Source organism: Homo sapiens, chromosome 1, assembly GCF_000001405.40.
Source record: "Homo sapiens chromosome 1, GRCh38.p14 Primary Assembly".
In the NCBI taxonomy this organism is placed as follows: Eukaryota; Metazoa; Chordata; class Mammalia; order Primates; family Hominidae; genus Homo; species Homo sapiens.
Window position 1 is genome coordinate 167,281,605 of NC_000001.11, and position 21,632 is coordinate 167,303,236.

General features: G+C 37.7%; 1 protein-coding gene and 1 long non-coding RNA gene across 11 annotated transcripts in view, besides 1 other annotated feature; both read left to right on the plus strand.

The window, feature by feature from the left end:
* Positions 1-12,851, plus strand: part of LOC124900412 (uncharacterized) — a 52,839-nt gene extending 39,988 nt beyond the window's left edge. Inside the window, exon 2 of the long non-coding RNA XR_007066718.1 lies at positions 1-12,851. This exon is cut by the window's left edge and continues 23,340 nt beyond it. This is a non-coding gene — a long non-coding RNA (uncharacterized LOC124900412).
* The window catches only part of POU2F1 (POU class 2 homeobox 1), a 206,461-nt gene that overhangs the window by 60,720 nt on the left and 124,109 nt on the right, over positions 1-21,632 (plus strand). The gene's annotated exons all lie outside the window — the stretch shown is intronic.
* Positions 19,157-19,361: a silencer, noted in NCBI's record as "fragment chr1:167269998-167270202 (GRCh37/hg19 assembly coordinates)". NCBI's record gives its function as "represses an EF-1alpha promoter that drives an FKBP-Casp9 reporter gene in an ReSE screen in K562 erythroleukemia cells {active_cell/tissue: K562}" and the evidence as "EXISTENCE:reporter gene assay evidence [ECO:0000049][PMID:32094911]".

The following is a 21,632-nucleotide window of genomic DNA, read 5'->3' on the forward strand; positions in this document are numbered from 1 at the left end:
CCTCATTTGAACATGGTTCAAACAGTTGACTACATTTGATTGGCCAAAACTCGGTGATTGGCGTAGGTGTAGGCTACGGTCTGGTTACACCTCCACTTGTTATAGTTCACCATGTACAGAAAAACCTTTAGCCAAACTTAAAATACGTAATGAGGCAGCTTTAGGCTAAACTTGGTTTAACAGTAGAGACTTTTCCTTTTTGTTCCAGACTTGTAAATTCTGCTGTCTGTTGAACTTCTCTCAACGGTGCATCACATTAAACATATCCAAACTCATTCTTCTCCCTTTCAGGCCACACTTTTTCCTCTACTCATATTTTCCTGCTCATCTCCTTCACTCAGTTGCACATGTTACTTAGTACCAAGGCTTCCTTCTTTATATTGTTCATACCTAGTTCTTTTCCATTCTCATGGCTACTACTTTAATTCTAGCTCCTACTCTTGCCTAGGGTTCATGGACTGGCTCCCTCACTATTTTCATACTTACTCCCTCAAATCTATATTCATACTGTTACTTAAGTAAACAAAAGAATTTTTTTTCTTATTTTTTTTTTTTCTGAGACGAGTCTCGCTCTGTCGCCCAGGCTGGAATGCAGTGGCGCGATCCCGGCTCACTGCAAGCTCCACCTCCCCAGGTTCACGCCATTCTCCTGCCTCAGCCTCCCGAATAGCTGGGATTACAGGCGCCCGCCACCACGCCCAGCTAATTTTTTGTATTTTTTAGTAGAGATGGGGTTTCACCGTGTTAGCCAGGATGGTCTCGATTTCCTGACCTCGTAATCCGCCCGCCTCGGCCTCCCGAAGTGCTGGGATTACAGGCGTGACCTACCGCGCCTGGCCAAAAATTTTTAAATTTCTATTACATCCCTCTTGCTTAAAACTCCTAAAACCACTCAGCTTTAAGGACTAACTTTAAGAAGTTGAAACTTAAATATGAGGACCTTCATAATGTGGTCCTTGTCTATCTTTCCAGCCTCTTCTCCTGTCACTTTTTTGCCTCTTCTTTTCACTCTGTCTTACTGGTGTTTCCTGAATTTATCATCCCTGTCACACCTCATTTTCTTCCCATGTTCTACTTTTTCTGTACTTTTCCACCCTCATAATACTGCTTTCCCTTGTTTCTACTTCTCAGGGAAGCCTGCTCTAACTTTCCTATAGGGTTTAGATATTGCACCTCTTCTCTGCCCCATTAGCTTCCTAGCAAATGGGGTTAAATGCAGAGCTTGCTCCAGAGGCCTACTGTCCAGGTTAAAACTTTAGCTTCACTCTGCTGATTATGTCTTCTTGGGCAATTTACTAAATATCTCTGTCTCTGTTTTCTCATATGTAAAATGGGAGTTACAAAAGAACTTCATAGGGTTGTTCTTGTGGGAGTAAATTGATGTATGTTAAACACTTAGAATAATTGTGCTTGGCACATGTTAACACTTACTGAACATTAACCTATTACTATCTTGTGTATACCTCATTCATAGGACAGATTATTTGATATTGAACTTCTGTTTTACTTGTTTCTTCCTCTAGTACATTGTGACCCTTTTTTGAGGGCAGGAACTAAATCTTATCAACTTAAAGTTTATTTAAAAATATTTGAGCATCCATTAAATCATTGATACTTGGCTAAGTCCAAATTACGGCCTGTTTTGTGAGACCCCTTTTTACATTTTTGTAAAATGTAAAAAGCCATTACCAACAAAAAGGAGGAAAAAAAAAAGAGGAAGAAGAGTATGGACAGAGAACATGGGCCAACAAAGCCTGAAATATTTACTACCTATAATTTTCTTAACAGAAAACATTTGCTGATCTCTGAGCTAGACCTCTTGATGTTGATGTTACACATAACATGATTAGAATCCAGTAAATGTTTGCTGGAATGAATGGATGGTTGGGTAGATAGATAAATGACTAGGATAAGAAGATCAGAATTGTGTGTATTGGTGATTATTTCTTAAGACGTGACAGCAATATGAAAGTCAGTGAAGAGTCTGAAATAGTTGCTTTCTCATTTGGTGACATGAGACTAGACTATTTGCACTTTGTGGGTAGGAATGTTTTAGGGTCCTGTGTCTTTCTGTTGTGTTTGAGAAGTTGGACACAAGAATGGTGTTCAAATTCCTGGTATTAACATGTGAAGAAGACAAGAATTTGCTATTTTCTATAGTTTGTACAGATGGAAAGTGTCAAGCGGTCTTCTGTGTTTTCCATTAAGCATTCCTTGCTGTTATTGCTAGGAATATCATAAAGGAGAGGATCCTCACTGTCATTTAATAAATAATAATAACAGCCTAAGTGGTTAATTTTGTTCCTTATCCCTACAGTAAACAAATAATAAATACTTTGAATTTAACTAGCTTAATATTCTGTTGGTGTAGAATTGTGGAGATAGATAAGGCTGAGTAAATTCAGGCCAGATTCTTTAATATTTATTTTTGACCGCTCTTAGGGATTTTGACCAAAGCAATTTACCCTCTAACTGTCCTATTTTGTATTTGTGGTATCAGAACAATTTTTCTTCCTTCATTTTTATTTCCTTAATGATTCAACTTTCTGTCTGCTCTAAACAGTATATGTGTTAAAGCTAATGTCCAAATGGTAATAAATTTTTTTTGTTATTAATTGATAATTGTTTGGATGTTGCTATTCTGAAAAGGACCATAAAGAGTATTTACACCAAGTCTTTAGTTTTACAGATAGGTCAGTTATTTAAAAATCACAAAGGTTCTTGATAGTAGAATGACAGCGAAAAGCTGGTGCTCTGATAGACCATGCTGCATCTCCTACTGTCCTGGTTTTTTATATAATAAGAGCTTACCATCTTCAGTTACATTGTTTTGCTGAACTTAAGCTGTGTATTGCACTCTTTCCATTGCTACCTGACAGAATAATAATGATCAAGACTTAAAATCTATTTCTAGTTTATTTTTTAGGTATTCGAAAATATTCTACTGTATTCACTTTGCCTTTCCCATTGTGAATGGTCCAAGAAACTTTAAAAAATATAGATACTGGTATAACTATGATTTGATACATTTTAATATAGGCAGTGTCAACATTTTGTGAATTTTATGTCAATATTAGATTATATTTTTCCTCTTCAAAGGGGCTTTTTAATGAAAATTGGGGAATAACTTGTTTCTAGTCTTGTAAAATCTTCCTTCATGGCACCATGAACTCTCATACATACAGTGGTAGACTTTCTACTTTTATATTATCCTTAGCTGTTTTAGTTTAGAATTCTGTTAGTGCCTTTCACAATAAATGTTTGTTGAATTGAATTGAACCTTGTGAGTAGAACTGTTTTGCTTTGCTGTTTTGTTGCAAGTATAACAGAATAACTTGTCATTATTTGCTATCTATACTCGATTCATTTGTGTTCATAGTATTTTCAACATATTTTTCTTTGTTTACTTAAATGTGGAAATTATATTCTAAATCACTTGGCAGCTGTGATATGCAAGAGCAATAGGCTTATTAAGTTAAAAGATGAAGTTTATGCCTTCATTCTGCCACTTGTATAGCATTTGTATTAGGACAATCAGCCTGAATCTTCTTTCCTCATCTGTAAAATAATGACTGCTTTATAGAGTTTTGTTAGGATTAAAAGGGAATCACATTTAAGCCTACCTAGCATGGTATCTGGTACATGGAGGGTGTTGAGTAAATGTTTACCCGGTAAAAAATGGCGATATGTACTTTAGATGTATCTTAAGACTATTTTTGGCCGGGTGCGGTGGCTCACGCCTGTAATCCCAGCATTTTGGGAGGCCAAGGCGAGTGGATCACGAGGTCAGGAGATCGAGACCATGGTGAAACCCAGTCTCTACTGAAAATACAAAAAATTAGCCAGGCGCAGCAGCAGGCGCCTGTAGTCCCAGCTACTTGGGAGGCTGAAGCAGGAGAATGGCGTGAACCCCGGGAGGCAAAGCTTGCGGTGAGCTGAGATCGCGCCACTGCACTCCAGCCTGGGTGACAGACAGAGACTCCGTCTCAAAAAAAAAAAAAAGTATTTTTAATAAAGGTTTTATAGAATCACAAAACCTTAGATTTTAAAGGGATATCAGAGTTCAAGCCCAGTTTCCCTTTTAAGAATTAAATTTCTTCTCTGCCGTATCCTGGGCTAGTGCTCATTTATCAGTTGCTATTTAATTTCTTTGTGCAAGGCGCTGTGGTAGGTTTTTGGGAAGCTGCAGAGTTGATTTAGGACAGATACTCTTCTCAAGAAGGTTGTTCCGAGTAAGCTTCATGGAAGAAGTGGCAGTTGAGCTAGAACTTGAAGGATAGGGTAGAATCTGAATCTTTATAGGGGTTGCCAACTGCAAGAACACAAGGAACAAAGGAGAGAAGAGTTTGGGCAGTTGCAGAAAATCATTAATAAATGAGTAATTTTATTTGACTGGATTAGGGAAGGTGAAGAAATAATGAAAGGTATGGCTGGAAAAGAAGATTATGGCCAAATAATAGAGATCCTGGATATATTGCAACAATTGGATTTCCTGGTACTCATCAGATGAAGTAAAATGAAACATTTTTAACTGGGGGTGATATAGTCAGTTTCATTCAGCTTTTTAATATATATGCCAAGTTTTAAATAGTTCTTTATTAATATTAACTTCTTGTAACTTTGATCTCTTTGCTGTAGTTCATTCTCTTTAGCCTTAGAGTCAGTCCCTCTTTCATCCTTCATGTCAAATCAGATACCTGTCAGTTTTGCCCCTAAAACACATGTAAAGTCTATCCTCATTGCTCCTGAGTTACTGTCTCATGTGGCACAGGATCAACCAGTAAGTTTCCATTCCTACTCTCCTGTTTAGAGCATTCATCAAAACCTCTGGTAGCCTTTATTGTCTTAAAAATATAGAGAGCATAGTGAAAACCATGTCACTGCCCTTGATTCTTATCTTCAAAATTATAGCGAAGTTAAGCAGTCTGCTAATTCTTATTTTCCTGTTGTAGCTAAAGCAGGAATCACTGAGGTAATAAGTTATTGTTTATGCATTACCTTATATTGTTGAGCACTAGAGATGTCTGTTAAAATCAGGGCAGAGAAATAGACAAGTAAACCACAGTGACAAGGTGGAGTAAAATAAGTACATACTTATTTTGTGTAGTGCTATGGAAACACAGAAGGGGCAAACAATACTGTTTTAAATCTTGCTTTTGAAGATGGAAATTATTGTCTTAAAGCTTATTCTCAGAGACTTGTGGCAATATAATGGATTAGATAACCTGAAAAATTCTGTGAAATGTCTACAAATGTCCATAACATTCGTTTACATGTTTTCCCTGCAAGCTCAAGGATGTGAAGGATTTCCCCAGGGCAATCGAAGAGAAAAATTAATGGTTATCAAGCTAATGCAGGCGCTGCCCTAAGTAAGGGCCTTTGTTCAAACCACACTCCAGAGCTTTGTGTTGTACTGGATCTTCTCGAGAAAAGGCTGGATTTTTCAGGGCAGGGAAATGGAGCTGAGGATCCCTGTATAGAGCTGTAACTCTTAAAGACTTTATACTCTTAGTAAAAGGGTAGGCTGGGGCGAACAACCACCCACCAGCAAAGTATACTGATGAAGGCTTGTCTTTCTTAGCCTTAGATCCAAATAGAAGTCTTCCCTGAAAATTTAAACCATAACTCTTTTAAAATACAGGTTTGCTATTTGAATTTGTTCACCTGTGTGGTCTGGGAAACCCAGAGATAAGAAACTAAAATGATCCTGAGCTAGAAGTGCCTCAACTGGAGCAGAGGCAAATATATGGCCTTTCTGAAGGAATGTGCTTTCAACACAAGCTTCTCATATTCCTCCAGATTAAAGTTTTCCAATATTAGCCTGTAACCCAAAATGACAGAACCTAGGAAAAAAGACAACATCAGAAAGTTGCAGCAAAACAACCAACAAAGGAAAAAAATAGTCATTGAAATTTAGAAACTTAATGGACAAGTTCAGCAAATAGATATGTTTTGAAGAATGGTTTAGGAAATTAACATATGTAGTACTGCTTTGTTTTCTCTGAGTCTCTTTTCTCTGAGATGAAAAATGCAAAAGAGAAGTTCAAAGTTATGGAAAATAGAATGAGGTTCAAAATGAATCTAATTGGAGTTACACAGAAAGAATAGGGATAGTTCTCAGCTGCTATCAGTTTAAATACATACTGGCTGAGATTTGATACAAGGCATGAATTCTCAGCTTTAGGAAGCACAATGAAACTCCAAGCGAGATAGGTAAAAATTCTGCACCTAGACACATTATCGTGAAAATGCAGAAAATCAAATATAAAGAGAATATCTTAATAGAGAGTAGAAAAAAATAGATGATTGATCATAAAAGAGCCACATTTAACTACTCAGTAGCGATGATGGAAGCCTAAAGACGATCAAGTTATAAAATACTGAGAAAAGATAACTGCCAACCTTAAATTTTTACCCAGGTGAACTTTAAGAGTAAAGATGAAATGACTTTTTGGACAAATAAAAACTGAGTTGGCTACCATCATACATTCTTTTAAAAGATGTACTTAAGAGAGAAGGAAATTGAACTCAGAAGGAAAGACTGAAATGCAAGAGGGAATAATGAGCAGATATATTGGTAGCCTGTGGGTAAATCTAAGTAAACTACGCTTATTTTATGACCTTGGTACATAGTAAATGCTTGGCTAACAGATATATTATTCACCAGTTTTCCTGAAATAACGTGTTTTCTTATTCCATTGTGACAGACAGTGGAATTGACTTCATATTCAGAAATTAAGAGAAGCTGGAATCTCAACAGGATTCCTAACATGGTTAGTCTTATTTTTCAAAGTTAACAGATACAGTGTCTTTAGGAGCTGACTTGGAGTGGCTAGGTTTCTTAAAAGTTTATGTTGGCCAGGTGTGTGAGCTCAGGAGTTCGAGTCTAGCCCAGGCAACATAATGAGGCCCCATCTCTACAAAAACAGTTAAAAATTAGCCAGGTGCTGTGGCCTGTGCCTGTAGTTCCAGCTACTCAGGAGGCTGAGGCAGGAGTGTTTGTGCCCAGGAGTTTGAGGTTACAGTGAATTGTTATCAGGCCACTGCACTCCAGCCTGGGTGACAGAATGAGACCCTGTCTAAACAACAGCAACAACAAAAAAACAAAGATTTATGTCTACTTATAGGCTGCTGAACAAATTTTAATTTAGATATTAACTGACCTTGCCCCCTCCTTACCAAGATCCTAATTTTTTGTGTTTGATTTATAGTTTGGATCTAGAATTTCCGTTCAAAATGTTCTCAGATTTCACAATCATTAAATAGAAGACAGTTCTAAATTTATTATTTGAGAACCTGTGCTAATCTTGGGGGAAACATTATAACAATAAGTAAAATGGAACTCAGTGCTCTTTAAATGGCCAAGAACATCACAAACCGGAAGCTTGGTCACTTGTGGTCCTGACTTGTAAAAAGAAGTATTTGCTAACCATGTTTTTATTTTTATTTTTTTAAACTATTGAATTTCAGGTAGTCTATGAGGGGAGTATACTTGTAGTAGCATTTTGCTAGATGAGCTGCCTTTATTCCAAATCAATAAATGAGTGGTCTGAGCACATGTTTCTTTTTTTGAAATAGTTTCTTTGAAGTTTTATTGTGGACTTAAATCTAATATCCCTGACGTAATATTTATTGACTTTCTAGGCATCATTCATTCATTCAACAAATGTTTCTGAGTGCTTGTCAGATTCTACCACTAAGGTTGCTGTACTGAACATGACTTATAAGGTGCCTGTGCTCAGCAAGCTTACCTTCTAGTGAGGACTAAACAGAAACCAGACAAGTGAACAGGGTTTAAATTTAGGAGAAGTACATACAGAAAATAAAATCAGGTGATGTGATAGTGACTTCAAAGGGTCTCTCTGAGGAGGTGACATTCAGACAAAGACAGAGGCCTGGGCAGAAGCATCTTCAGTGGAAGGAACAGAAATTCCAAAGGCTGTAAGGTGCTTGTGAGTGAGTTTGGTGTACATTTACATGGTGCTGTAAGTGCTGAGAGGGTATATTAATGTGATGGTTTAATGTGACTAACATATTTTGTGGAAATTAATTTTGATTTTATGATCAATCACACCAGATTGCCATAACTTAAAATTTCTATCTCAGGTCTTAGGAGTTACACTAACTTTTACTCTGTTCTATATTTGGCCAGTGGAACTCAAACCCATTTGAAAACGTTTGGTCTGAGATGTTCATTTATTTGCTGGCTTGTGTTCTGTTCTCTTTTAGACAGTTTTTTTGTGACCCCATTGTAATGTAAAAACATTTAAATATTTGCCAAATTAGTTGAATTATAAATCTACATTTTTACATAGGGAGACAAAATATAATGAAAAATAATTATAGTAACTTGGAAGAGACTTCAAAAGCAGTATCCAAAACTGCAAATTATGTTATACAGTTTAAGCACTTAGTTCATTTTCTTTGTAATAAAACTTATTCCACAAATACGTAATTATTTACAGGATTCCTACATAAATAAGGAACTACTAAGATTGCATGAAGGCTGGGTGCGGTGGTTCATGCCTGTAATCCCAGCAGTTTGGCAGGCAGAGGCGGGTGGATCACTTGAGCTCTGGAGTTTGAGACTAGCCAGGGCAACATGGCAAAACCCTGTCTCTACAAAAAATACAAAAATCAGCCCAGTGTGGTGGTGGTGGTGTGCGCCTATAGTCCCATGTACTTGGGAGGCTGAGGTGAGAGGATTGATTGAACCCAGGAGTTTGAGCCTGCAGTGGGCAGTGATCGTGCCATTGCACTTCAGCCTGGGCGACAGAGCAAGGCCCTGTCTCAAAAAAAAGTGTAGCACGAAAACCACATGTTCTCTTTTGTGTTGAGATATGCATATGATTATACCCTTTTATCAAAATTTAGTAAAAGCATTTCTTAGCTTTTGCTCAAATTACAGATTCTATATGTCTGTCCTAACTTGTCATCCATCCAGCTGAAGCGTCTCAAGGTCAGAATCATGTCTGTTTCATCTTTCTGACCCCATGGAGCAGAGTACAGTGCCTATGCATAGTAATCTCTCAAAATTGTTTGTTGAGTGAGTGAATGTGTGAACATTTTATGAAATTATCTTTAAGAGTAGTTACTCATGATCAGTATACTTTAAAAGATCGGCAAAACATTGATGACTTTTTAAAAAGTAATTTTGGCCAGGAGCAGGGGCTCATGCCTGTAATCCCAACACTGGGAAGTGAAGGGGGGAGGATCACTTGAGGCCAAGAGTTCAAAACTAGGCTAGTGAACGTAGCCAGACCACATCGCTACAAAAGAAAAATTTTAAAACCAGCTGGATGTGGTTGGCATGTGCCTATAATCCCAGCTACTGGGGAGGCTAAGGCAGGAGGATTGCTTGAACCCAGGAGTGCAAGGCTGCAGTGAGTTACAATTGCACCACTGCACCCGGCCTGGGTTAAAGAGTGAGACCCTGTCAGAAAAAAAAAAAAAAAAAAAAGTCATTTCATAAAATTGTTGGAAAATATGCATTTCTGAAGGAGAGGCGTCAGTGTGAAGAACACTCATCTGAACTAAGAATCAGAAAATGGATCTGAATTTCAGCTTTGCTATTCATTCAGTGTCCTTAAATAAATCATGCAACCTTGCACATCATTTTCTTATTTATACAATGAAAGCATTGGATTGATCATTGCTAACATTTCTCTCTGCTCTAAAACTGTGATTTTTATCCTTTGCTATTTGCAAGAACCAGAAGAGATAAAGGTTGCCTTTTATGTTAGATTTGATTCTAAATCTAATGATATAGGACAGCGGTGCTTAAGCTATTTTTGTGAAGTGATAAGGAAAAACCCTGGGAAAGGTTCAGTGGTGGTTTGCACAGCTGATTATTTGTTATGATTAATTGTTCCACTTTTATTTTCTTTTGTGGCCTGTAACCTAATTTTTCACTTAGTATTGGGATTATTTTAGTACAAACAAGTGATATATTTGTAAGAAGGGATCCAGAGAGTATGGTAAAATGTCTGGATGCTGATGTTCTCTAAGTTAAAGGAGATTCTAGGGGGTAGTCTATAATAAAGGAAAAACACATTTTTTAAGGTTTTAATTTTTCAGAGTGCAGGGAGGTGCTAGGTGCTTTCCTCACATTAAGTATAACATTTCCTTTTACAGTATGTCAGCATATTGTTGAAGTTTTCCAATATGAAAATAATATCTATTTACTAGCATATTAAAGCTTAGCAAGAGAATTTTAATAGCCTCATTTAGCCTCCTAAACAGTCAGAGGCAGGGAAATATTATTAGAGTAACAACACTGTAGGTGCTCTCTTTTGTCTCTAGTAGCAAAATGAATTCTGGCTACCATGTACTGTAGGAGTGCTGCTGGCTTGAGGCTCCTGAGATCTGGCATGGCTGTTATACTGACTTGTTTTCTTTCAAATTCATGTTAGAAAAATCTGTGCGTGTGTGTGTGTGTGTGTCTGTGTACACAAATATTTATATTACCGTGTCTCAGTGCTTTGAGACTGTGTGAGGCGGGGGAAGAGCTGTTGAGGCTTTTTATAGATAAAGTTGATAATGCTTTTTTGACTTGGTTTTCTGTTACCATCTTTTTTGTCTCTATTATGATATCTATTATATAAGTCAGAAGGAGAAATGACACAAATGCCAGTATACCAGTTCAAGATAGGATCTTGGTTTGATTTAGCTAAAATTTACCCTACTTATTGGTGCAATTTTTAATAATAGAAAACCATTCCTCATTGCTTGGAATTTTTATCTGCACTTTCCATTTTGAATATTATTGTTAGTTGTTGAACACCAGGTTTACTCTGCAGGACACCAAGCAAAGCTTTAGAAATTTCTGCCATCATTAAACCCTGAACAGACTGATAAGCAGCAAAATTGAATCAGTTTAAAAAAAAAAAAAAACTTGCCAACAAAAAAAGTCCAGGACCAGATGGATTCACAGCTGAATTCTACCAAACATTAAAGAAGAATTGGTACCAATTCCAAAAGATTGAGAAAGAGGGAATCCTCCCTAAATCATTCTATGAAGCCAGTATCACTCTGATACCAAAACCAGGAAAGAACATTTAAAAAAAAACTACAAGAAATAATAAATAAATAAAAATTAAAAAGAAAACTACAGACCAATATCCCTGATGAACATAGATTCAGAAAACCTCAAGGAAACACTAGCTAACTGAATCCAGCAGGACATAAAAAAGACAATCCACCATGATCAAGTAGGTCTCATCCCAGGGATCCAGGGATGATTTAACATACACAAGTCAATAAATGTGATACATCACATAAACAGAATTACAAACAAAAACCATACGACCGTCTCAATAGACAAAGAAAAAGCATTTGATAAAATCCAGTATTCCTTTATGATAAAAACCCTCAACAAACTAGGCATGGAAGGGACTTTTACCTTAAATTAGTAAAGCCATATCTGACAAACCCACAGCAAACATCATACTCTATGGGAAAAAGTTGAAAACATTCCCCCTGAGAACTATAACAAGACGACAATGCCCACTTTTACCCCTTCTATTTAACATAGTCCTAGAAGTCCTAGCCAGAGCAGTCACGCAAGAGAAAAGAAATAAACAGCATCCAAATTGGAAAAGAGGAAGTCAGACTATCGTGATTGTATGCCTAGAAAACCCTAAAGACTCTTAGATTCGAGAAACAAATTCAGTAAAGTCTGAGGTTACAAAATCAGTGTTTACAAATCAGTAGCACTGCTGTACACCAATGACCAAGCCAAGAATCAAATCAAGAACCCAATCCCCTTTACAACAGCTGCAATAAAATATAAAATACCTAGGAATATACTTAACCAAGGAGGTGAAAGATCTCTATAAGGAGAACTAAAAAACACTGCTGAAAGAAGTCATAGATAACACAGACAAATAGAAGCACAACTCATGCTCATGGACTGGAAGAATCAATATTGTGCCAGTTGACAGATTCAATGCAGTCCCTATCAAAATACCAACATCATTTTTCATGGAATTAGAAAAATATCCTAAAATTCATATGGAACCAAAAAAGAGCTCAGGTAGCCAAAGGTAATTGTAAACAAAAAGAACAAATCTGGAGGCATCACCCACTACGGGATTTCCAGTTATACTACAAGGCTGTAGTTACCAAAGCAACATGGTACTGGTATAAAAGTCGGCATGTAGACCAATGGAACAGGACAGAGAACTCAGAAATAAAGCCAAATATGTATAACCAACCTGATCTTCAATAAAGCATACAAAAAAGTAAATTAGGAAAGGACACCCTATTTAATAAATGGTGCTGGGAGAACTGGTTAGCCACATGAAGAAGAATGAAACTGGATTCCTATCTCTCACCTTATACAAAAGTCAATTCAAGATGGATCAAAGACTTAAATCTAAGACTCAAAACTGGAACTAGAAGATAACCTTGGAAAACCTCTTCTGACATTGGCCTAGGCAAAGAATTCATGACTATGGTGGCTCACGCCTGTAATCCCAGCACTTTGGGAGGCCGAGGCGGGCGGATCACAAGGTCAGGAGATCAAGACCATCCTGATCTCAGTGAAACCCCGTCTCTACTAAAATACAAAAAAAAAAAAAAAAAAAAAAAAAAATTAGCCAGGTGTGGTGGCGGGCACCTGTGGTCCCAGCTACTCAGGAGGCTGAGGTAGGAGAATGATGTGAACCCGGGAGGCGGATCTTGCAGTGAGCCGACATCATGCCACTGCACTCCAGCCTGGGCGACAGAGTGAGACTCCATCTAAAAAATAATAATAAAAAAAGAATCATGACTAAAACCCCAGAAGCAAATGCAACAAAAACATAAATAAATGGGACCTAACGGAATCAAAAAACTTCTGCACAGCAAAAGAAATAATCATCCGAGTACACAGACAACCCACAAAGTGGGAGAAAATATTTGCAAACTATACATCTGACAAAGGACTAGTATCCAGAATCTACAAGGAACTCAAACAAATAAGCAGGAGAAAAACACAAATAATTCCATCAAAAAGTGAGTAGATGACAGGAGTAGACATTTCTCAAAATAAGATATACAAGTGGTCGACAAACATGAAGAAGTGCTTGGAATCATTAGTCATCAGGGAAATGCAAATTAAAACCACAATGAGATACCACTTTATTACTGCAAGAATGGCCAGATCTGGTGAAAGGGGAATGCTTATACACTGCTGGTGGTAATGTAAATTAGTACAAGCTCTATGAAAAGTAGTGTGGAGATTCCTTAAAGAAGTAACAGTAGAAGGCTGGGCACGGTGGCTCACACCTGTAATCCCAGCACTTTGGAAGGCTGAGGTGGGCAGATCACTTGAGGTCAGGAGTTTGAGACCAGCCTTGCCAACATGATGAAACCCCATCTCTACTAAAAATACAAAAATTAGCCGGGTGTGGTAGAGGGTGCCTAATCCCAGCTACTCAGGAGGCTGAGACCTTGAACCTGGGAGGCGGAGGTTGCAGTGAGCCGAGATCACGCCACTGCACTCCAGCCTCGGTGATAGAGCAAGACTCCATCTCAAAAAAAAAAAACCTAACAGTAGAAATACCATTCTATCCAGCACTCCCACTACAGGGTATCTACCCAGAGGAAAAGAAATCATTATATGAAAAAGACGCCTACACATGCATGTTTATTGCAGCCCAATTCACAGTTGCAAAGATATGGAACCAACCTGAGTGTCCATTGACTAATGAGTGGATAAAGAAAATGTGATATGTATACACCGTGGAATACTACTCAGCCATAAAAAGGAACAAAATAATGTCTTTTGCAGCAACTTGGTTGGAGCTGCAGGCCATTATTCTAAGTGAAGTAACTCAGGAATGGAAAACCAAATACTATATGTTCTCACTTATAAGTGGGAACTAAGCTATGAATATGCAAGTGCATACAGTGATATAATAGACATAGGAGACAGACGTGGGAAGAGAGTGCCAGATAAAAAAACTACATAATGGTTACAACATCACTATTCAGATGACAGGTGCATTAAAATCTCAGAATTCACCACTATATAATCCATCCATGTAACCAAAGCTATTGAAATTTTAAAAGACATTTTAGCCGTTATTTTTGTGGAGCCATGAACATGATTCAGAGGCTAAATTGTAATAAAAGATTTCTCTTAATGTTCTACTAAGTTGGTTGCTTGGTGTTATCATAACCAGTGTAAAGTGAATGGGCCATAGAAGGCCTTCTTCTATACCAGGGAGAATAGGGAACCTCTTAAGGGTCGTTGTAAATTTTTTGTTGTAATTGCAGGATGAGTGACTTTGAACATGAAAAAAGTAAGAGTCTGTGAATAGATGTGTTATGGAGCTGCTGTTTTTAATTCAGAAAGGGAGGGTGTATAGTAACTGCTTTAATATGTAAAAATCTTTAAAATTTTTATTTGGTCTAAAAAGCATTACAAGTAGAAAACTTTTTTTTTTTTAGTTTCTGTACAGTTAAGTCGTGAGTTGGACAAAGAATTTTTACTGAAGGAAATAGATTATTGGTGGAGACTCAAAGTAGTAAGGGCAGCATTTTGGAGTTCATCCATTGAGCCTTTTTGCATTCAGGTAAAATGAGAGCTAAACTCAGGCCAAATGGAGAGATGGTCAGAAAGAATCCAGTTTTATGTTACTTCTAAGCAACCTGAGCTTAGTATTTGAAAAATCTTCATTCATATTTGTCTATTTCATCTTCATCACAACTTAGAACTTTCTCATATTGTAACACATCTTTATATTTAATATCAATATTGTAATTCCTGCCACAGTGGTTCTTACTTGTTTTTAATCTTTATCATTTTCTCTGTTGGACCTATTTTTAGGACTCTGGTTCATCTTAGCTCCTCATTGTCTGAAGCAGAAAAACTTCTTTCAAGAGGTTCTTTGTGATAAAATAATAAAAACTGATTACACAGCGTTGCACTCCATTATTTACACAGATTTGGGTAATAAAGGAAAAGTGTTTGGTCAGATTCTGGGGACCTAACCAAATATATTAGGAAAGTAAAGAATTCAGCTAAAATTCTTTTAATAAAAATAAATTTACAAAAACTCGGTGTCCATTAAAAAGATTGAAACAAAAAATAGAAATGTATATGGTAAATGTTAACCATTTAGTGTGAAACTACAAGTCCTTTTTCCTGTGTTCATATATATGTCCATAGGTATATGTAAAAGTCAGATCATATCTGTAACTATCCAGCATATTTCCAATTATATGCAAAGCACTGTAGTGTGAAATACGGGGACTGTTTGCACTTTAAAAACTTGTATCATGAAGGCTGATTTTTAAAAATTATAGGCTGGAAATGGTGCAAATATGCTATATATGTTTATATGCTGTATGGGAAGACTGATTTTTTTAAAATTATAGGCTAGAAATGGTGCAGGTATGCTTATATAACTAAGATAACTAAGTTGATGTGCAAGACAGGAAAGAATGGTTGAAATTAAAAACCATAATTTAATATTGATTTTGCACTAATAACCAGACCCAATTTTGGAAATTCCAACTTGTTCATAATGTGCATATACAACAGGAGTTTTGCAGAGTTTTGGCAAAGTATGTGGCAGCCACATGTCTTCACAGAACACTGAAATAATCCTTAGTAAACTCTGGTAACTCTAACTTGTGAACACCAAATTAATAACTCTTAATAATTTAACGTATTTGTTATTGGTAGTTTGCTTTCAGCTTCAGACAATTGGAACTGGCTGAAATACAAAGGAGTTTGCGTGGCTAATCTGATTGAGAAACCAGAAGCTTCAAGGACAATAGGGCAGGGCTGTGTTTGGACTCTGCACTTCTGTGTTTTGCTTTACCCTCATGGTTGCAAAATAACTGCCAGCAGCAGCCAGGGAAATATGCTTCCTTGTTAATAATGTCCAGAGAAAAGAGAGTAGTCTCAGTATTCTCTATTAAAAGTAAGACTATATCAGAAAGGTTCAGGAGCTCTGTCCTTGATTTCACTGCCCAGAATTGAATAAAAATTTGAAATGCAGTTCACTTCTGAGCAAGCCATTAGCTAGGGGGATGGGATTAATCATTCAGGCCCTTTCCTTGTCCTTGCTCTTATTCAGCTAGAGAGAGTTGGAATGGCAACCAGCATGTACTACTACTATGTAAGCCCTCAGTCAAATGTCACAACCAACAGAAGCAACAATTTTGAATCAGCTCTATCCCACTAGTGGCAGGAAGAAAATACTTTGGCAATCACTAGTGTAATGAGAATTGGGCTGAGGATGGACCCTAAGGAACACTAACTTTTAACCAGTAGAGCAAGAGGCCAAGGTGGGTGGATCACTTGAGGTCAGGAGTTCAAGACCAGCCTTACCAATGTGGTGAAACCCCGTCTCTACTAAAAAAAAAAAATACAAAATTAGCTGGGTGTGGTGGTGCAAGCCTGTAATCCCAACTACTTGGGAGGCTGAGGCAGGAGAATTGCTTGAACCTGGGAGGCAGAGGTTGCAGTGAGCTGAGATCAAACCATCACATTCCAGCCTGGGCAACAAGAGTGAAACTCCATCTCCAAAAACAACAACAACAACAACAACAAAAACAAACAAATAGAGCAAGAACGAGGAGCCTGTGAATCCATTTCCTGTTTTAGTCCATATTGCTTCTTTGATATGGAATAAGACAGTAATGATGACTCCAGGATTTTTTTCTTTTGCATTTCTTTTTCCAAGACTAGAGTAAATGCTGGAAACACATTAAAGTTAGAAATAGAGACTTGAATTTATTCTTTAATAAAAAATGTTCCTTGAACATTTAAGTAAAAATGTATCTATGATACAAGCATTTTCTAATTTAAGATAATAGCAAGCAGAAGAAAACAAGTTAAATGTAAATTTTTTTTCTGTTTCCTGCTCTGTATGTAAAGTCAAGAATCTGACCTTTGAGTAAATTTCATCATATTTCTTATCGTAAAATAGATTACAAAATAAATCCTGAGAATAAGTAAACAAACACTTCCCTTTGAATTTCCTGGGGTGGTTTGTATTTCGTTTTTTTTAATTGTGGCTGGTCTTCAGATTCATTCAAAATATAATTTTAAGAGTCCATTTTTTGGGAGTATAATACTGACGGCATTTAGCAATTTATTTTTAATTATGAGCTTCAAAAAACTATTCAGTTTGCTTGAATTCATTAATTTTAACAGCATATGCCATGTTCAGTTTACCCAGTGGCTTTTCTTCATTAAATCTGTGTGTCTCTGGTCACTTTAATGTCAGTAGCTCATCAGTTTCTTCGAAGTGCTGCCCATTAGAATTATGGAAGGAAGGCTGGGCACGGTGGCTCATGCCTGTAATCCCAGCACTTTGGGAGGCCAAGGCGGGCGGATCACCTGAGGTCGGGAGTTCGAGACCAGCCTGACCAACATGAGCAAACTCCGTCTCTACTAAAAATACAAAATTAGCTGGGCATGGTGGCAGGTGCCTGTAATCCCAGCTTCTCGGGAAGCTGAGGCAGGAGAATCACTTGAACCTGGGAGGCGGAGGTTATGGTGAGCCGATATCGCACCATTGCACTCCAGCCTGGACAACAAGAGTGAAACGCCATCTCAAAAAAAAAAAAAAAAAAAAAGAATTATGGAAAGAAAAGAAATATGGAAGGAGTTGTGATTGGATATACTGAGGTTAAAGGATAAAATGAAAAGTGTATCTTGTAGTATATATGAAGGCAGTGTGGTTAGTTACTAGGAAGAACTGCATCCTTGTATGTTTTTTAAAAAAATCTTACAAGTAGTGTTGTTAAAATGTATGACTCAAACTTCATACTCATCTTTACATACATATTTAATATGTTGAAAAAATTATTCTTCTAAAAGGAATAAATGGTTAGGTTTGCTGCCCTGTGTGGGAAGACATCAGTGATTGGAGATTGATTGTGATTAGTAATACATTATGAATGGTAGTGGATTGAATGTTCTACGTGCAAGGACCCTCCTGTCCTTGAGTGATTATAAACAAACACTTGATTTTCGCTTGGTGCTTTACATGTGTAGGAATGACAGACACACTGAACTACTGTTTATCTCTGCATATCTTTTAGACGGTGAGATATTAGCCAACAGACTCAATTCAGGAGACCAGAGTTTTTTTTTTTTCATTTTATTTTGCTGCTGTTCCTCACCTAGTTCCAAAGAGTGGGATAAAGCATTGCATTTTCTATTTCATATTTGCCTCCTCTGAAGTTTGACACTGTAAGTCAGTGGTTCAGGGTCTTCTAGGGGTTTGTTAAAACCCAGATTGTTGGGCCCCCACCTCCAGAGGTTCTGATACAGTAGGTGTGAGGTAGGGGCCAAAAAAGTGCATTTCTAATAAGTTTCCAGGTGATGCTATGATACTGATCCGGGTACTGCCCTTTAAGAGTAGCTACTGTGCACTGTTCACAATAGCAAAGCCATGGTATTAACCAAGGTGCCCATTAATGATGAATAAAGAAAGTGTGGTACACAGATACCACGGAATACTACACAACCATAAAAAGAACAAAACCATGTCCTTTGCAGCAACATGGATACAGCTGGAGGCTATTACCCTAAGCGAGTTATTGCAGAAACAGAAACCAAAATACCACATTTTCTCACTTGTAAGTGGGAGCTAAACATGGGGTAGGTACCACATGGATATAAAGATGGGAACAGCAGACACTGGGGACTCCAAAACGGTCAGGAGGAAGGAGAGCAAGGGTTAAAAAATTAGAGATCAGGTACCGTATTCACTGTTTGGGTTATGGGTTCAATAGAAGCCAAAACTTCAGTATCATGCAATATATCCAGGTAGCAAACCTACATATGTACCCTCTGAATCTAAAATAAAAATTAAAAATTTACAAAAAGAATTACCATTGTGAAAACTCTTATTTTTTATTTATTTTTTTGAGACGGAGTCTTGCTCTGTCGCCAGGCCAGAGTGTAGTGGCGCGATCTCAGCTTACTGCAACCTCCGCCTCCCAGGTTCAAGCGATTCTCCTGCCTCAGCCTCCCGAGTAGCTGGGACTACAGGTGCACGCCACCATGCCCACCTAATTTTTGTATTTTTAGTGGAGACGAGTTTTCACCACGTTGGCCAGGATGGTCTCGATCTCTTGACCTCGTGATCCGCCCACCTCGGCCTCCCAAAGTGCTGGGATTACAGGCATGAGCCACTGCACCCAGCCTCTTATTTTTATTTTTTATTTTTTTGGAGACGGAGTCTACCTCTGTTGCCCAGGCTGGAGTGCAGTGGAGTGATCTCGGCTCACTGCAACCTCCAACCCCCTGGTTCAGGCAGTTCTCCTACCTCAGCCTCCTGAGTGGCTGGGATTACAGGCGCATGCCACCACGCGCAGCTAATTTTTGTATTTTAGTAGAGGTGAGGTTTCACCATGTTGGCCAGGCTGGTCTTGAACTCCTAACCTCAGGTGATCCGCCTGCCTTGGCCTCCCAAAGTGCTGAGATTATAGGTGTGACCCACCGTGCCCAGCTGTAAAAACTCTTAACAGTTTTAATTAAACCAAGGAACTGTCATATTAAATTTATTTAAGGAAAAGATGCATAGTATTTACTACTGTTTAGATTAGACTTTATATTGGTTCTCTCTCTCTCTCTCTCTGAATGTTACCTATTACATTAGGTGACCCACAGGGAATACTCACTTAAAATTTTATGTTTCTTTAGTCAAAGAATGGTTATCACTTGGTGATGGGCATTTTGTAACTTTTCACAGACACGTTAGTTACTGCTGTTGGGCTGAAAGCCACTTTTGGACTAGCAGAAAATACCTTGCGTTATTTTGTTTAACATTTCAAGCAAAGATAAAATTTTTTAAAAATTGTTCTTAACTGAGATAACATAATTATTATTTCACTAAATGAATATTGAAACTTTTAAAACCAATCTGAAGCCAGTACAGCCTCTTTGCCATTGCCAGCTGTGCATGTTGCTATGGAAACTCAGTAGGGACTAGCAGGATTACTGTTGTGAGGACCACACCTGGTTTATTTGCATCCAGTTTAAGTTGGGGGAACATTTCAAAAGAATAAAAGGTCTCAAGATGTGCCAATGGACAGCAAGAAAGAGCTTGTTAGTTTGTAACCATCATATTGGAAGGGTGGGTAGGTTTTTCTTACTCCTTACAGTTCCTGGTTGGGAGGGTTTGGTGGATGTGTTAAAAATTTGTTTTGTGTATTCATTTCTCTCAATTTTTCGCTATTCCTTACGGTGTTTTTTTGTTCTGTGTGCTTTTTGTTTTAGGTATTTCTTCTTGTAATTTAAATGTTTTTTTCATTCTCTTAAAGTATGGACAGATCAAAATTTTTTAAGAGGAAAGAATTTAATTTCTTTTCAGTTGTATTATGTAATAAAATATCTTAATAAGGTTTTCATCACTGTTAGCTATGGTAGAATTTTATGTTGATCTCTGATTTTAAGTAGTATGAGCCTCTATGCTCCCCTTCACTCACAAAAACAAAAACAACTCCTTTTATTTATCCCCCGCCCCCGAGACGGAGTCTTGCTCTGTCACCCAGGCAGGCCGGAGGGCAGTGGCACCATCTCGGCTTACTGCAACCTCCACCTCCTGGGTTCAAGCGATTCTCCTGCCTCAGCCTCAGCCTCAGCCTCCTGAGTAGGTGGGATTACAGGCACACGCCACCACACCCGGCTAATTTTTTTTTTCTTTTCTTTTTTTTTTTTTGAGACAGCATCTCACTGTGTCACCAGGTTGGAGTGCAGTGGCGTGATCTCTGCTCACTGCAAGCTCTGACTCCCTAGTTCAAGCGATTATCCTGCCTTAGCCTCCCGAGTAGCTGGGATTACAGGCATGCATCACCATGCCTGGCTAATTTTTGTATCTTTTAGAGACGGGGTTTCACCATGTTGGCTAAGAGGGTCTCCTTCTCCTGACCTCGTGATTCGCCTGCCTTGGCCTCCCAAGGTACTAGGATTACAGGCGTGAGCCACCGCGCCTGGCCAACAACTCCTTTTTAAGAAGACACTTTGAACTGCATTTGATTTTGTTTGTACCATTGCATCTCAGCTGTTCAGATTCATGAAATAGGAACAAAACTGAATGTACAGAAAAAAGTTATGTGGGCCAGTTATATGAGCACTGAGTATGGATCTATAAAATTTACATAGTTTTCATTAATTAGCTATACTACTCAATCAGTTACACTGACTTATACCAGTTATACTAATTATGCTAAATCAAAAATAGCTATAATAGTACAAGTATATGTTAAATAAGAGTCATAGCATGTACCATTTCTTTATTGGTTTATGTTGTTTGAATTCTATCGATGAGGATTCTGAGGCCTCATGACAAAGAGGGGGATGGTCAACCAGTGATAGTAAATTTTCACACCTGTGTGTACCAAGTATTGGTCTTTCTCATTTTCTAAATACAAAATATAATCTTATATCTTTTTTCAGAATACATCCATAGCAACCTGTATGGATCTATTGCTATCTATATCGTCTATCTATGTATATATATAAAGCCAGTAGATACTTGTATTGTATATTAGGGGGAGGTTAATGTCAAATGTGGAGATCAGGTTTTTTTTTTTATGTTAGTGAAATGCACCCTTTAAAAAAAACCTGAGTAGGCTGTTTTATCCAGCTTCATGAAAGAATAGCACCATACGACACA